The following is a 17,906-nucleotide window of genomic DNA, read 5'->3' as shown; positions in this document are numbered from 1 at the left end:
TAAAAAAAAAAAATTACAAAAGTAGCCATGGTAGTGTAGTAGTACACACCTGTAGTCCCTGATGCTCAGAAGGCTAAGGTTGGAGGATTGCTTGAGCCCAGGAATTTGAGGCTGCAGGAGCTATGATCACCCCCCCTGCACTCCAACCTGGGCAACAGAATGTGACCCTGTCCTTTTTTTGTTTAAAAAAAAAAAAGATTCTATGCCAAATCTACATTTTGCAACTTTTAGTGTGGTTAATCAATCATGTATGAGACACATTCACTGCATAAATCTTGAGAAAATATGTAAAATAATAAACCCATATGTATTTCAACCCATAAATTTTTGAGAGCACACAGAATTATTTCAATTAGACTTTTAGCTAAATTTTATTAATTTGGATTTAGTTAATGTATGCTCTTCAAGTTGTAGATTTGTTAAATTTCTACCAAGGGATTTTTTTTTTCTTTTTAAGAATGTCCTTTAAAAGTTCACAAATATCTCCCAAATTAATCTACCATCAGTAGTATATATTTAAGTGTTCAATAAATAAGAGATGCAAAAGCAAACCCTTAAGATGAATATCTTAATACATTCACAGTGATTTTTATGGAAATAGAAATACCTTGTTTATTATTGAGCTTACATTCACAATTATGTAGTTTTAACTATAAAGAAAAGGAAACTTTCAAGCAAATGCCACGTAGAAAAGTCTCAGAAGAGGGTTACTATTAGCATTAGTTTATTGTCCAAGGCACTGTCTGCAAACTTCTTGTTCCAGCATAACTGTGAATAACATCCATTTCACTTTCAAAAAATCCACTTTGGGCAATCAATTATTTTATGACTACAAGTTCGGAAAGACTGATTAACTTGGTTTAGATTTCATGACCTCTCTGGACTAATCACTGTGATCAGAGGAGTAGGATACAGTGATTGGCCATATCTGGATTATATGCTAACACTTGAGTCCAGAAACCTAGGGAATTTGGCAGCTTCCACTTGAAACATAGGTGGATTCCAGAGGAGCATTCCCTGAAGGCAAGAGTGGTTTTCACTAGACAGTGTAAAGATGTGCTTACTGCACAGGTAAAACACACATATATCCATTGAGTCATAACAGAGTGCAAAGAATGCTGAGAAGGGGGGTTTTACTGCATCTAGTATTTTGTATTACATGGGGGTTTTATTGCATCTAGTATTTTGTATAGTAGATTTATCTTTTAAAACTGAAGACAGTTATAGTGCATACTCTGAATAAATCAGCCCAGTCATTTATGTGCATATACTCGCATATATATATGCTTGATGATGTATACGTATGTCTGTATATGTGTGTATAAAAACATACAGCCTTAACCTTATTTAATGCCAATAAATAGTGAATTAATTATTAGCATACTTTTTAGGGTTATAATTATGTCTGTATTTATATAAGCAATTAAAATGACTTTGAATGAAGATCTTGGCAGTTTTTGTTTGTATGTTTTTAAAAATTTTCTTACTGTTGGTGATTGAGATATTGAGATATGCTGTTTTTAAATTAGAGTGGCACAGGTATAAGTAACATGTACACATTTTGCTTTCCTAGCCAGGCCTATCCTCAGCAGTTTCACAAGATAACAGTTTGCAGGAAAAGTCAAGATCTTTCTTAAATGAAAAGTGATTATTCATCATAATAAAATGGCAAATCATACCTTAATGAATGGATGTACTAATGTCTATTCACTCTTCAGATATATTAGCCTAAATTGGTCTTTAGCCCTAACATGTGAAATCGCAAATAAAATACAAAATTATCACTTTAAAATAGCACAATATCAGCTATTTCACAGTTTGAGATGTGAGTCACCAAATGTTTTTCACAATGGTGTAGTGAAATGTATTATTAGAAAATGACAGTGGCTGAATTTTCTAGTTTGGGTTGCTATGTTGGATAATGGAAGCATGAAATAATATTCTTCATAAAATAGCAAGTGGTTTAATTATTTTCTTAAAAATTTATGTAGTATCTACCTACCAATACTACCTACTAGTGTACTACTAGGCAGTCAGAACACAAAAATCATAAGACCTAGCCTTTCATCTCAAGAATATAACAATCTACACAGTGAACTGACTTAAGCAATTTAATAAATGTGTATATATCTCTTTATGTATATATTTGATGATATTATATGACAGAACATATATAGCCTTAACTTGGTCTATCTCTATGAATAGTGAACTAATTGTATCTATGAGCTGCTGTGTGAATTGAGGAAGATAAATCCGATTCTGTGCAAAAAAAGAGTCAGAAGCTGGTCAGGTAAAATCTGAAAGAGAAGATTACACTTGAGTCTTGAAGGATTAGCAGGGATGATCAAGTCAGCAACGGACAGCCAGGAGCAGTGGCTCACACCTGTAATCCCAGCACTTTGGGAGGCTAAGGCAGGTGGATGGCTTAAGTGCAGGAGTTTGAGACCAGTCTGGGCAACATGGTGAAACCCTGTCTCTACAAATTATACAAAGATTAGCTGGGCATGATGGCATGTGCCTGTAGTTCCAGCTACTTGGGAGGCTTAGGTGGGAGGATCACCTGAGCCCAGGAGGTCTAGGCTACAGTGAGCAATGATTGTGCCACTGCACTCCAGCCTTGGCAACAGAGTGAGACCCTATCTCAGAAAAAAAAAATGTCACCAAGGGAGATTGTAGTATGATGTAAAGAAATCATTCCAGATGTTGAATACAGCCTGGGCAACAAGTTTCTCTTTAATAAATCTCTCTGGGGTTTTATATGGAAGCTCTGAGATATTCAGCACATGGTAAAGTACAGAGGGATATTAGGTGAGCAATAGTTTGTTGTTAGCCCTTATCTGGCTCATATCCTGGATGTCCTGGAGGCCAGGGTTTACCTAGGAAAATACGCAGCTAAAGCAGAACAACATCACTATTATCAGTGGGTCTTCTCTTGTTGGGATCTGAGTTTACATGATTCTTTTGAAAGAGAGGTGGGACACTATTTGCTAGTAGATCCATCCTGTGGTAGGTAGTATATATGCACAGGTCACAATAGCAGTACAACCAAACCACTGCAGAGATAAATAGCAGTACAACCAAACATTACTGAAAAAGGAATAAAAGGTAGAATGTGGAAAAAAATGCACTCAGCAAACAAGAGTGGTATCTAAAAGAAACAAGATCAGGCCGGGAGTGGTGGCTCACGCTGTAATCCCAGCACTTTGGGAGGCCGAGGCGGGTGGATCACCTGAGGTCAGGAGTTTGAGAACAGCCTGGCTAACGTGGTGAAACCCCGTCCCTACTAAAAATACAAAAATTAACAAGTTGTGGTGGCAGTTCCCTGTAATTCCAGCTACTTGGGGGCTGAGACAAGAGAATCACTTGAACATGGGTAGCAGAGGTTGCAGTGAGCTAAGATTGTGCCATTGTACTCCAGCCTGGGTGACGAGAGGGAAACTCCACCTCAAGAAAGAAAGAAAAGAAAGAAAAGGAAGGAAGGAGGGAAGGAAGGAAGGAAGGAAGGAGGGAGGGAGGGAGGGAAGGAGGGAAAGAAGGAGAGAGAGAGAGAAAGACAAAGAGAGAAAAAAAAGGAAGGAAGAAAGAAAGAGGAAAGAAAGATCAAACTTGGCTCAAAGTGGTGCTGATGTGGACAAGCCAGCCATGGAAGGCACATGACTTTTTGGATGTGTAATGATTATCTCAAATGTTGATATGTTTGCCCATCTAGTGGACTAAAGCTGTGAGAAAAAAGGGAAACCTCATTAGAAAACTAAAGCCTAATAGTACAAAGCAAGAACAAAATAGTCAGCTAGCTCCTCCTGGTATATATGAGAGAATCAAGGAAATTTAGGGGTTTTTTAGATTTGTAGAAAGTATTACTGTAGCCTTAATATTTAGTCCTCAGATTTCCTGAGTAGTTCAGATGGAATGAAGCATAGACAAAAATATTTATACCAGAACTGAGTTTTTTAAACATCAGTTTTGCAACTTTTCTTTGATTTTCTGTTTCCTTTCTTTCCTTCTGGCCACCAAGCTCAGAAACACACACACCCAGCACTCTGAATACAGTCTCTTGCTGTGTCTTGCAAATGCTTTCTACATAAGTGAGCTGAAGACAGAATTCGGATAAGTTTATGCTTGTAGATGTGCAATGAGATGTCAGAGTTGACAATTCACATAGCCTCTGGACTGCTGGTCAGTAGCGTTTGCTCAATGGGATATAAACTTGTGGATCAAAAGGAATTCTTTCTCTCCTTGACTTCACAGAGCATATGACTTCAACCTGCAGACTCAAAAGGGAAGACCCATGCACAGTATTTTTATCACTAACTGCCCCCACCTCTGCTTATTGACAAAACCTCTGTGATCCCATCAGTCAACAGAAATTTCTCTATATTGCCCACTTTTGGTGCTGCCCCTCTGTGTTTGATCCTAACCACTTTGCAGCATCACCGTTCCTCTCTTTGCCAGTGTTTTCTATAGTGTGTCCCTGCCAATTTCACTTAACATCTCTCTTCCTTAACATCTCAATTCTGTTTCTTCTTATTTTCTCTCCCATTATTACTACCCATACACAGGCCCATATTATTTCTTGCTTAGATCTTTAAAAGCACCTCCAATGGTATTCAATGCTCTGTGTTGCCCCTCCAATCTATTCTACATTTTGTAGTTATGGCTTTCTAAATGTTGATTCTACTCTAATCATATCACGGCTTTTCTTACAATTATTTAATTGCTCCCCATTATTCTTAGAATGAAATTAAAATGTCTTCCAAAGATGAACAAGTCCTTTGTAATCTTGCTCCTGCTTACATAACTCTCTAGTCTTATTTTAAATCATTTTCTGCCTACTTTCTCCTTCCACCTCTACCTTCTCTTGCTTTCCAGTCCATTTGAAATGTAATCACACTGAACTTCTTCCATGCCTTTCAATGTGCAAGTTTCTCTTTCACAGTTCTTCCAATCTTTCCCCTGCCTAACTCCAACTTTTCCTCAGTCTTTATCTCACTTTTCTTTCCCTCTGGAAAGCTTTCCCTAACCCACCAGTTCTCTTGGTTAGGTAATCCTTTTACATTCAACACTGTCTATTGGATTCTTATTGGATTCATTTATATTGTCATGTTTCTGCCTCACAAGACTGCCAACTCGTTGAGAACAGTGAAGTCTTATTCATCTTTAGCATCTAGTGCACAGGCTGGTACCTATAGATTCTTAATACATGAATGGCCCAATTATACTGACAATGTATTCAAGACACTTATTTTCTAAATTACAGACTCTTTTATGCTTCTACCAATTAGAAGCTGAATATTCCTCACCCTCCCTAAATACACTTTTCTAATGCTTTTCCAAACACATTCATTCTTCAAGTGATTTTCCCATGTAGTCTAGGTGCTGCATAGTCCAAGGACCGTCTCTTTCTATTTCATCAAAACAAATAAGAATTCTTAAATACCTCTATCCTTCATAGAGCTTTGTCAGCTAATCGGTCAACGTTATTCAAATTATCCGTTGATTCATGAGTATTTGAATACCTACGGAGCCAGATACTCTCCTATGGACTGGGGATTTAGCAATTAGAGAAGCGATGTCTCTGATTACACATGATCATCTTAGTCTCTCTTCATTTCTCCTTTTCTCAACGAATACTCACTTTCCACAGTGTTTTATGTGTATTTTTACTTTTTGCTCATTGAACAGATATTATTATCTAACTAAGCAGTGTTAGGTACTGAGAATACAAGTGTGGAGCTCAGGACTGTATAGTAATATTAGAAATCCTAATTATGTCTTTATTATACGTCTTAAATTTATGGTTTGAAGTTTTTTTATTTGCTTTTCTGCAACAGAGAGTAAACTTTGGGATGGTAGAAATTATCACATTTACCAATCCTGTATCATATATCTACTACTAGATACAGAATGCTATGTAAAAGTATATTCAACCCTATTTTAGAAGTTAAATATTCCCATAAAAGACAGCATGAGAAAAATCTACAAAACAATATAAAAAGCACTCAAGTGGAAGGCAGGCATCAAAACAAATTTACAGATGTGTGCTCAAGGCAAGAAGAATTTCAGGCCTTTCCTGGGGTTACACAGGTAACCAATGGCTTGAGCTTGGCCTACAGCCTACCACTTCTGGCCACGTGGGACACATACTATGACTCGTGCTACAAGAAAAATGTGCTTTCTCTGAGTGGTGCCTTCCTCTGAGATTTTTTTCAGTGCAATTCCCATTTATTTTCTACTATATTCACTTTATAAGAACTTCAGCAGGACTATATTACCAGGCTGTTCATTTCTTCATTTGTGCATTCGTTGAAATAATTATTGAGCATTCACTTCTTGCCTGGGAGTATTCTAGCACTGGGCACTAAAGTAATGAACAAAACACACAGAAATTTCAGTCCTCACGAAGCTTGCATTGTAGTGTAGGGAGATAGACAATAATATAAATAAATAAGTAAATATTATGTTAGATAGTGATAAGTACTATGAAGAACAAAAATTAAGTGAAAAGGGATATGGTTTTCAAAGGTTTATGTGTGTGTATGTGTGTGTGGGGGGGGGGCGGGTATTTTAAATAGGGTAGGCTGAGGGAAAAGCACTCTAGGTTGAAAGAACAGCAAGTGAAAAGGCCTTGAGGCAGGAACTTACCTAGAGAATTCAAGGAATTGCAAGGAGATTTCTCTAGCCCACATGTCTAAAGTGGAGTGAGTGGTGGAGAAAATACATGAAATCAAAGAGATAAGTGAATGTCAGGTCTATAGAGCTTTATAGGTTACTGTTAGGACTTTAACACTTATCCTATTAAGACTTACAATTACTCTGAAATGGGAAGCCATAAGTGCCATTTGGGAAGAGGAGTGACACGATGACTTAACGTTTTCAAAGAACAACCTGGCTCTTATGTTGAGAATAGAAGGCCAATTAGATGAATATTGTGATGGCATTGTAATCATGATAGCATGGACAAAAGCTATAGTGGTACAAGAGGAAGAATTGATCGTATTTTGAATTTGTTTTGATGATAGAAATGATATTATGTCATGATGGATGGGATGTGAAGTATGACAGAAAGATGAATCCAAGGTATTTTGGCCTGAGCAACTGGAAGAACGGAGCTTCCAAAAACTGAGTTAGAGAAAACAATGAACAGATTTTGAGAGGAAAAGGTTGAGCATTATGTTTGGATATCAGAAGTTTGATATGTCTATTAGACTCCCACAGGAAAACACTGAGTAGAACAGTAGACAAACAAGTCTAGAGTCCAAGGGAGATATCCAGGATGAAGATATAATGGATATACTGCTAGATCCTATAGAAATATAAAGTAGCTCTAAAATACCATCTCTGCTTTCTAGAGATGTATAGTTTGTTGGCTGTATATAATAGATAAGTGAAAGTAATTAAGCAATGAAAAGCAGTAGATGTAGTATTTTTACAAAGTATGTGAGTACCAAAATGAGTGCTGAAGAAAATAAGTGTCATAACACTTCAGAGATGGGAGATAGATATCCAGGGGAAGGTCCTTAGAGAAGATGGGGTTTGAAATGGACTTGAAGCAGGTGCTGAATTTTAGTAGTTACAAAAAAGAGGCGAATCCCAGGCCCAGAAGAAGTAAGAACACAAAACTGTTGAAACATAGATACGCTCTTTCCTCCCATCTAAAACTGTATGTATGGAAGTCTCAAATTAGATTTTAGAGGATAGAATTGCATAAGAAAACTGATCTGATAAAACAAATCACTCTCTTAGAGATTTTTTGTTAGTGAATAACAGATTAATGCATTGTTTTCAGTAAATCAGCCTGGTAGCCACATTGCATATATTCAGTTTTATAAATCCACCTTTAGTACTTCCTCCAAAATGTTGTCCATTAGAGCCTGGGAGCCTAATTAATAAACAACAAAAAAATATAATTCCATAGCTTTTGAAGAGCTTTCACTGGTTTAAAATATAAATCAACCTAGCAAAAATATTTAAATAATATTGATATAAAATTATTAATGTGTCCTTGAGTTCACACTTCTGTCCATTATGAAGCTGTCATATCATTTTTATATATTTGGATAGTCAAGGGCAATATATATCTTTTTGCTCTAGGCAGGCTGTCTGGCAACCCTGTAAGAAAATAGGCAATTTTTCTGTGGCCAGTAAATGCTATCCTACAGAAGGGAAAAGTAACAATGGGAACCAAAGAGGTTGAAATACTTTAAAAATCAAAACATATTCCCCTTCCATGAAGTGGCTTTACTTGCCCTGTTTCTAGTCACACCTTAGTTTTCCAAGCAGACTGTACAATCTGAGTCTTTCTCTAGAGATAATACTGGGTGCAGTCCTCTTCAAAGACAGGATTTGTGCTTGCTTGCAACTCCCAGAGCTCTGTGCTGTCTAGTAGTTAAGATCTCCAATGTGGCTTATGAGCTTTGTGTAATTTCTATCTGCACCCAGACAGCCGGACTTCATTTCGTTTTATTTGCATTTAATAATAAGCCGTCTTTCCTTAGCCCTTAAATTGTGAATTATCAAACACTATCAAATCCTGTCTTCCCATATTCAAGCTATACTTACTTTGAAACAAACTCATTGGTAACATGCTCATCCAGGGAAGAGCTGAGCTGTGTGCCGTGCATCTCAGGGTGGGAACTACTCTATTTCTTGTGGGGCTACAAATGCCATTTCCGATCTAATGTGAACACTGGGAATGGCAGAGAAAGCTTTATGGTGGATTCATCTTTAATTATTAAAACAGGAGAGATTATTCATGCTCCTTTGAAGTTCTTATTTCATTTCCAGTAAAAGAAATGAATGTACAGGTCACTACATGTGAAGCAAGGTAGGTAGTGAGAGTAAAAGGGAAAAAACCCAAATAGAATGATAGAAGAAATGAAAAATAGAGAGGAACAGTGGTTGCAAAGGGGAAAACAACTGTAGAAATGAGAGCAAAACACAGAGATGGCCTGCCTTGTAGGAAGCTGGTGCACAGCTCTTGATAATATTTAAAAATAAGTGGATTTGAAATCTCTTTGCTAAATCATCGTCAGTCTACATAAATGCAACTATGTATCGACAGCCACAGCACTTATAAAAGCTAATAATCAAGGAAAGATGAAAGGTGAGGGGGAAAGATTTTACATATTAACACTTGCTGAGAGATTGTGTCTTCTACCAATAGATGTGGAAGAAAAACACGTATTAGTTCAATAAATTGAGGAAGCAGGAATGGGGCAAGGAGTTGGGAGGAGAAAAGAGTCACAGCCAGAATAAAAAGTCACTTGATATCAAGCATCAAGGATCTCAGTGTGTGGTTTTTCTTTCTGCGTAAAATTGTCCAGTCCCAGTAATTGGAAAGTGAGCATAATGAGGGGGCTGGTCTGAGTCATGCTCTAATGAGTCAAAATTATAGCAGGTTGGCATCTGTTACACGAAAGGACTTGTGTGTGTGGAGGTGGGAGGAAGGTATCATTTTTCAGGAGAGAATGTCAAAAAAGCTTTCCTCTGGCTCAAGGTGTGTTGACAGAATTCTTCATTGGCCTCGGTCAGGGATAACAGAGGGAGCAATAGGGCAGGATTAAGGTCTATTAATGGCTTATATGAATATTATCTCAATGTTATTATAATCACAGATAATGTTACATATCTATATCAAAAACCATTCATTTAGTTGCCTTTCATCTATAAGAAATTTGAGTCTTCTTATGCAGTGAAATATCCATAAGGTTGAGTTTGGGTTGGGACTATGGAGATGCTGATGATGGACACAGAATCTGAATGTTAGCCTGTGGAACAAAGTACCTCATTACTTAATTGTCCTCTAACCCGATACATGTGGGGTTAACACAAGCTTTCCACAATAAAAAGAGAGATATAGAAAGGAAACAAAAACAGGTGCCTTAGATATATGGACAAAACACTAATACTGGAGTTAGAAGAGCAGATTCGCTGGTCTTCCAGCCATAATAAAATCAGTCCCAACTAAAGACTCATTCATAAAACAGTACTTCAATGTAAGTGATGCAGCAAAATCCTCGCTTCCTTGTCGTTCCATGCAAACATAGTGTAAATATATAATCTCATCTATTCTTAATGCCACCAACCTTGAAATATACCAGAAGCTAGTTAGAAACACATTTCCCAGTTCATCACAACATTATATTTAGTTTATCAATAAAACCTTATCTCTACAGACTTACTTTAATAGCTCACATCTATAAGTTAAAAGGATATCATAGATTGGACATCCCTAAAAAGTAGATCCTAAAATGAGGAATTGCATTGTTATGGGATCTTTGGGGTGCTGCTTTTCTGGCTAGAAAACTCTGTGGTTAGTGGTGTCTTTGCCTGAGTTTTTGTTCGGGCCTGCTGGGCTCATTCCACCCACTCAGCCTGGTGGGCTGCACTTGACTCACACTACCAGCCTGGGTCCCACACCTCCAAGGGAGACTGTAAGTCAGACATGGGGCAGTGAGGGGTATGTGAGCAAGCGTGGGGTCCAGGCACTGTGCACTGTCAGATGCACTGGCTATTGCTTCAGGGAGGGCAGCTCCAGGTGCCATAACGGGCACTGGTTCTCTGTGAGGCTGCAGCTAGACCAGATGCACTGCAAGCCGTTTACCCAGCTGGCACCAGGGAATGCACTGATGCCTAGAAACTTGGAGATACCAGGAACCACAGGGGCCCAAAGAGGGAGTCACAGCCCTGGCTTGGGGAGTTCCTAGGTCTGGGCTCTCTGAAGGGCTGCAGCTCTTCTCTCCTTCTCTTTGCCCACAGTGTCATGGGCAAAGGGCATGTTTTAGCTCTGTTTGTGTGTGTTACAGCTCTTTTAGCCTCGACATTCAGCAGGTCCCAAGTTCTTGTCCTGCGACTTGGAAGCATGATATATGCAGACAAGTGGAGGGTGAGCAAGATGAAGAGAAGATTTATTGAGCAATAGAACAGCTCAGAGGAGACCCCCAGTGGGCAGCTTGTCTCCATAGCCAAGGTGTCCCATCAAGTGTCCAGCTCTCAGCAGAGAGGGTGGTTCCTCTTTGCAGCAACTTGTCCCATCATTTCCTTAGTTCTCAACAGAGAGGAGACCCTGGGATGGGCAGCTCCTCTCTGTAGCTTGTCATCCCGTCATCTCCCCATTGTCTCTCTATCCTCTGCTCAAGTCTGGCTGAGTCCTGGGTTTTTATGAGCCTCAGAGGAAGTGTATGCTGATTGGTCCATGGGTGACCATGGGCAGGCCCAGGGAAAAGCACCACAAGTTTCCCCTCTGGTCCATGGGACTGGCAGCCCAGCCCCCTGATTTCAGACCCTCCCCAACCAGAAGGTGGAGCTTCACCAGGGACCCACCTGGTTCCACCCAGGAGCTTGCTTGCTGATGCCCAGGCTTTTCATGCCAAGGGGCACCTTCAGGCCAGCACCAGGCTGTCCTCAGCACCGCCTCAGCCTCTCTCCTGTGCTTGTCAGTGCCCTAAGTCCAGAGGAGGCTGAGGTGGCAGGGAGCTGGCATGTCAGCGTTGCCGTGAGTGTGTGCACCCCCAGCTGGGCTGTGACAGCAGCACCTGGGCTTGGCCCCTGACTTTACTCTGAGATTGGAGCAAGTGTGAACAGTGGGGAGAAGCCAGGCAGTGGGAGCAGACACCCTCCAGCCTGTGGGAGGTAGGAGGACCTTCCCAGGCCCCCTAGAGTGCAGAGATGCCTGAGTCTGCAGCTGTGGAAGGGTGGCTGTAGCTGCACCTGGAGAGTTCCCACTCCACCAACTCAAAATGGGCAGGGCTCCCGCTTGTCCCCAGCTCCCACTGGCTCAGTGGAATGTGTACCCCGGCCATGCCTCTTTGTAGCCTGGTGTGGGAGCTTCAGGTTCTTGCTGGGCCTGGGCAGGCTTTCAGGGCAGGTGTGATATCTCCGCAATTTCTTTCCATGGTCTGGATGCTGTGGCCCAAGGCTCCCCATCACCAGGCTCATGGCCCTGCCCATGGGGTGCCTTTGGGAGTGGATTGAAGCCCTGGGCCTGGCCATTTGGAGTGTCAGGGTTGGCAGTCACCCTGATGGAGGGTGGGCCTCAGGATGTGGCCCTGGGCAGCCTGGCAGAGAACCTCTTCCCAGGCAGAGAAGCCTCTTCCCAAGGCGCAAGAAACCGACACCATCAGTTGGGGGTGAGTGCAGTGGCCACACTGCTGGCTGGATCCCTGAAGTGGGCACCAGTCACTGCTCCCATTTCTCACCCCGGGCTCAGCCCCCATGCTCCAGCCGCTCCAGACGGTCTGCTGCTGCCATCAGTACTATCAAAGTGATTTCCCCGGAATCATTCCCTGGAAAAATCAGTACAAACGTGGCACTGCCCTGGTTCAGCTCTGCCTCTGGGCCCCTCCTTGCCACCCCCGCGCCCTGCTTCCTGCCCAGTCATACTGCTCCCCCGCTAGTGAGCGACCCTCCACCCAACCCCACTGTGGTGGCCCCCAGGGTGGTGGGCTCCAGAAGTCTCCCAGGGGCAGGCTCCAAAGACTGTCCGCCTCCTTCCCATGCCCTCCCCGCAGCAGCAGCAGGCGAGAGTGGCGATGCAGGGCCAGGGTCTGGAGCAGCAGAGGTTCCTGGCCTGCGAGTGGGTCCTGCCTGGCTGCACAAGGGTGGGACAGCGCAGTCAGCGGCCTCGGGGACATGGGGCACGGGGGGGGCGGGGCACAGGGGTCCCACCACCGCCACTGCTGCTCCCGCAGCTGCTCCTGCCGCTACTGCCAGCGCGATGGCAGCAGCCGCTCCAGACGGTCCGCTGCTGACATCAGTACTATCAAAGTGATTTCCCCGGAATCATTCCCTGGAAAAATCAGTACAGAAGTAGAAAAATTGATAACCAATGGGAAGAACCCCAAATGGGAGTGCAATATGATGCAAAATCCTGCTGTGGACAACTTTGGCTCAACTCCACAGAGATGTTCTAAGGGAAATTTAAATCCTGTTCACTTGAGGAGCTCTATATTGTTAGAACAAACCAGCAGCCCAAGGAGAGCCCACTGACAAAGACTTTCAGGTGTCAGCTGTTCTGAGTGAACCCCGCTGGAAGGCAGTGTACATGAAAATGGTAGGAGATTGGAAAGGATATGAGCAGACCACTGACAAAAATCTCCTGAGAAGGAATGACACTTCATAGGCTCCCAACTGTCTGCAGAATATATGGATATTATTGTTACTGTAAGCACGTTCCTTGCCTTTTTTTTTTTTTTTTTTTTTTTTGAGGCGGAGTCTCACTCTGTTGCCCAGGCTGGAGTACAGTGGTGCAATGTCAATGTCATGTGGGCTCACTACAACCTCCATCCCCAGGTTCAAGCAATTTTCATGCCTCAGCCTCCTGAGTAGCTGGGACTACAGTTGCATGCCACCATGCCCAGCTAATGGTCCTTGCCTTTTCTTCCATTGCCTACTTGCATTCCTTTCCAACTCTGCAGAACTGCTTCCATTATCTCAACTGCACCATGCTGTTATACATTTCCTTGCTCTCATACCTGACTATTCTTTGGAATGCCCTTAACTAACCTCTGTCTTTTGATTGCCTGGTAAACTAACCCCCATTCTTGCAGATCCCGCTCAAGCTTTACCTTCTATGTGAAGTCTTCTCTAACTGAACTGGGAAGAATTGGCTTTCATTTCATCATGAAACTATGGCACCTTTAGTCTCCAAAGTGAAACATATCCCACTGCTTACAGTGTCTTGGTTATGGTGTCTTTATTTATCTTTGAAAATCCTAGATCCTTCAAAGCATGTTTGGCACCAGGTTGCTATCCACGAATGTTGCTGAATGTAACTAAATGTGTGTGTGTGTGTGTGTGTGTGTGTGTGTGTATACATACATACATATATAATTTAAGTATAGAAGATACATTGACTTTTTTACCTGGAAGGTCCTTCTGAGGTAATCAAGTCCAAGTTGCCACCCATTACAGAAATTTCTATCTGTAGCATTCACAACTGGTGGACATTTAATGTTCCAGCTAAAACTGTCACCCTTTGTTTAACTATACATTATGCAGCAGTAAGAGTTAATTATGGGAGTGCTCATTCCTTGGGCTAAAATCTTCACATTCTTCTCTTAGTAATTAGAGTTTGTATTAAGTCTAATATTACTTTTTTATTATTTTAAATAAAATAAAATTTCACAGAATTAGTGATAGTTATATTGATGTCAATATGTTCTAGGTTCAGAAGTCAGTAGAGGATTCCAACACAGAAGATAAATGAACATCATGTTCAAAGCTGATACTATCCACCACTGGACATTTCATGGGCATTCATTCTTGCATGTGTATTTTCCTTTTGATTTATATCCAGGGAAGGGTTTTCTCTTGCTACATCGTTTCCTGTGACCCTGCCGTGCATTAGTAAATCATCTGACCAAATTTAGCAATGAAGTTTCTGGCTTTCAAGTAGTCCAAATGAGAAATACCCAGAATGTTTTGTTATTATTAGAGGGACAAGGAATACAGGCCTGTTTTGGAGGGGGAAATCATGGATGATCCAAAAGAGTTAAGAGATATAACTGATATAAAAATGATTGCAATACAAATTTATCCAGCATCACTGTGGCCAAGGCAGGTCCTCTCTGCCTATCAGTCTGTTAGACAGCATCTTTTCTGTTCTTAACACGACTCTCCCATACAGACTAGCACCTTTTAAAAAAAAATCATCTTTTGCCTATTCTACCACAGCTGGAGGTAGGCTAGCTTTTGGAAGAGACACTAGAGAGCCTGTGTTTGCATTTTTTCCTCTATGCCATCTGTTCACAGAATGGATTACAGTTGCCTCCAGTTAAAAAGCAGATTGTCTTGGCCCAAGGTCAGGAGAGAAGTCTCAGCATCCTGTCTGACTGCTAAAAACCTTTTTCCCATCCCTCCAAGACACAAAGGTAACATCTGCAATTAGAACTTGGGTTTCTTGACTGGTTCCTTTTGCTTTTGCATAGCAATGCTCTCCTGGAGATTTGCAATTGCACCTCCTCTTTCTCTGGCCTGGCCTCCTATTTCTTAATGCCAATTTATTTTCTATTGGGCTCATCTTTTTCTTTGTTCTTGTCGTTTTTGTTGTTTTTGTTGCTTTTTGTTTGTTTGTTTGTTTAAGATGCCTGCCGTCAGCCTTGATTTACCTTCAAATGTGCTTGTGCCCAGAACTTTCAGAACTGTGATCCCAATGTACATTATAGGATTGGTGAAAAGAGCTATAGTTATATTTTGCCAGATTACTTTGGCATTATCTTCAAATGAACATTTTGGATATTTCAGGCTCTTTACTTTGTTTATTGGGAATAAGGAGCAGAGAAAGAGAGAAGACAGTGAAGCTGAAAATCAAATCTTCCCCAAATTGTTGGGCAAACACTTTGGAAAAGAAGTAAAGAGATGCAGCGTGTATTCTATCTGCCTCTTCTTCCTCAGAGCTTTCTGTTGGCATTTAGTAAAATATTTTCGTGCGTTTTAGAGCCCTTATGTTCATTTAAAGAAAGATTTCTGAAATTAGAAAGGTCCTTTAGTTAGATCCAGTCAATTCCAGAGTAATGTGCCTTTGAGTGATAGAGGCAGCTCTGGGTGTAAATTGAGCAGAGCTGTAAAATGGCAAGAACAATTGAGAATCAAAAGCTAAAACAAACAAACAAACAAAAAACACTCAACATCACTCCCTCCACCTTTTCCTTTGGGTGAATCAACCAAAAGGTTTTCTGAAATCTGAAAAATAGGGTCAATGTATGCATATTGCTAATGACTTCCTAATTTCTCAGTCAAGTAGCCTCATTTTTTTTCTTCATGCTTCTGTGATATTTGCTCCACTACTACACCATCTTCAGCATGTCTGTTCCTTTCTTGGCCAAAATGCCCCTCTCTCTCTACTTGCCCCCACCACCAATTCAAATGTGGGTATATTCTTATGGTCTTTTATTTTTACACAAGCTCCGCCTCCCAGGTTCACACCATTCTCCTGCCTCAGCCTCCCGAGTAGCTGGGACTACAGGCACCCACCACCACACCCAACTCATTTTTTTTTTCTTTTTTGTATTTTTAGTAGAGACGGGGTTTCACCGTGTTAGCCAGGATGGTCTCCATCTCCTGACCTTGTGATCCACCCGCCTCAGCCTCCCAAAGTGCTGGGATTACAGGCGTGAGATACTGCGCCCGGCAAAAGTAGATATTTTCAATTACATCAAATCTATAGCTATTTCTGTATCTACAACTATATGCATGTATGATGTGGCAGTGACTCAATTTCAGTTTCTATATTATTTTTTTATTTTCACTAGGAAATCCCGATGTTGTTTGCCTTCTCATTTAGATACTCACATCTTTACCCCAACTTACCATCTTTTCCATGGGGGAAAGAGAACCCTAAAACACTGCTTTCATGCTTCAATTCAGTCTTTTGTGTACGGAACCTTTGGACTAAGTTTTTTTGTTAGTTTTTGTTTGTTAGTTTTTTATTGATACATAGTTGCACATATTTTTAGGGTACATGTGATATTTGGACTATGGTTCTGGAATGCTTAAACTCATTTACCCTGTCAACTAACATTTACTGAACACCTCTGTATATATTAGATGTTCTCTGACTCTTCTGTATCTGACATTGAATATCTAAATTGTTCTAATTGTAGTGATTCCTTATTTATAATGCTGGACATTATAAATAGTCAGGCTTGGGCATTTTCTGTCCATATACCTTTATTCCTGGAGCCTCTCCTGAGTTTCTTAAACAGTCACTCTGGTTCTAGATTTTTACCTCTCCATTTATCCTGAGTGCCAGACCCTGATTAATTTTCCTATCTAAATGCTACTCCTGTCAATGCTACATTATTAGAAACCTTTTTTAGTTACATATGCTTACAGTATAAAGTCAATACTTCTTAGGCTGATATCCATGTTCTCCCTCATGTGATCCCAAATTTTATTTCTAAATGTAATTGCCACTGTTGTCCTTGACTCTCTATATAAGATAAACGTTGTGTCCTAATATATTCTGTTCTTCTGTATCTTAGCCCATGAGTTTATTTGACCAGACATATCTTCTCAGATGTTTACTTCTCCTCCTTCATTGTTTCAGCCTCCATCTATCAAAATTCTAGTCATCCTTCAAGATCCAGTTTAAATGTTGCTTCTTCCATTAAGGCTTCCCTGCAGGCTCCAGATGGAAAATGGCATCTTACCTAAATGAAAAGAATGTACTGGCCAGGTTCAGTGGCTCACACCTGTAACCCCAGCATTGTGGGAAGCCAAGGCAGGAGGGTCACTTAAGCCCAGGACTTTGAGACCAGCCTAGGCAGCATAGCAAGATACCATCTCTATAAAAAATATGAAAGTTATCCAAGTGTGGTGATGTGCGTCTGCATTCCTACCTACTTGGGAGACTGAGGTATGAGGACTGCTTGAGCCTAGGAGGCTGAGGCTTCGGTGAGCTAGGATAGCACCTCTGTTCTCCAATCTGGGCAACAGAGCAAAACCCCATCTCTCTTAGAGAAAGAGAGAGAAGAATATGTACTATATGACTGTGTTAGGATGCTGTAGAGGATTAGTGAGCAGTAAGACTGGCAATGTAGACTATGACCAGATGGTGGGGTACCTTGAATGTCTGCCTGAGATGGTTGAATTTTGGAGGTAGGAGATATAAAGGCATGAGCATTTTCTTTTAATCAGAAAATTCTGGTCAGAACTGGATTCAGAAAAATTAGCTCTGTACCTGAATATAGGATCTATTGGAGAGAGAAGAGGTTCTCAGATACCCCTTTGACTCCAATCCCGTGATCTTAACCATTGTGTTATTGGCAGTTACTATGTACTAGGAGCTTTAGGGTTTTTAAGCAGATCTGGGTTGCAAACCTGCCTCTACTGCTTTACTATTCATGTGATCTCTCAAAATTAGTTTCATCATCTATATAATGAAGTTATAATAGTAAGAATTTCCC

General features: G+C 40.9%; 1 protein-coding gene across 4 annotated transcripts in view, besides 1 other annotated feature; it reads left to right on the top strand.

The window, feature by feature from the left end:
* The window catches only part of LSAMP (limbic system associated membrane protein), a 643,114-nt gene that overhangs the window by 41,545 nt on the left and 583,663 nt on the right, over positions 1 to 17,906 (top strand). The window lies entirely within an intron of this gene.
* Positions 11,975 to 12,504: an enhancer, noted in NCBI's record as "H3K27ac-H3K4me1 hESC enhancer chr3:116110286-116110815 (GRCh37/hg19 assembly coordinates)". NCBI's record gives its function as "activates a minimal SCP1, AML or CMV promoter by ChIP-STARR-seq in primed H9 embryonic stem cells {active_cell/tissue: H9 hESC(primed)}" and the evidence as "EXISTENCE:reporter gene assay evidence [ECO:0000049][PMID:30033119]".

This window comes from Homo sapiens, chromosome 3 (assembly GCF_000001405.40).
Source record: "Homo sapiens chromosome 3, GRCh38.p14 Primary Assembly".
Taxonomy (NCBI): domain Eukaryota; kingdom Metazoa; phylum Chordata; class Mammalia; order Primates; family Hominidae; genus Homo; species Homo sapiens.
This window is presented reverse-complemented; position numbering and strand designations above follow the sequence as displayed.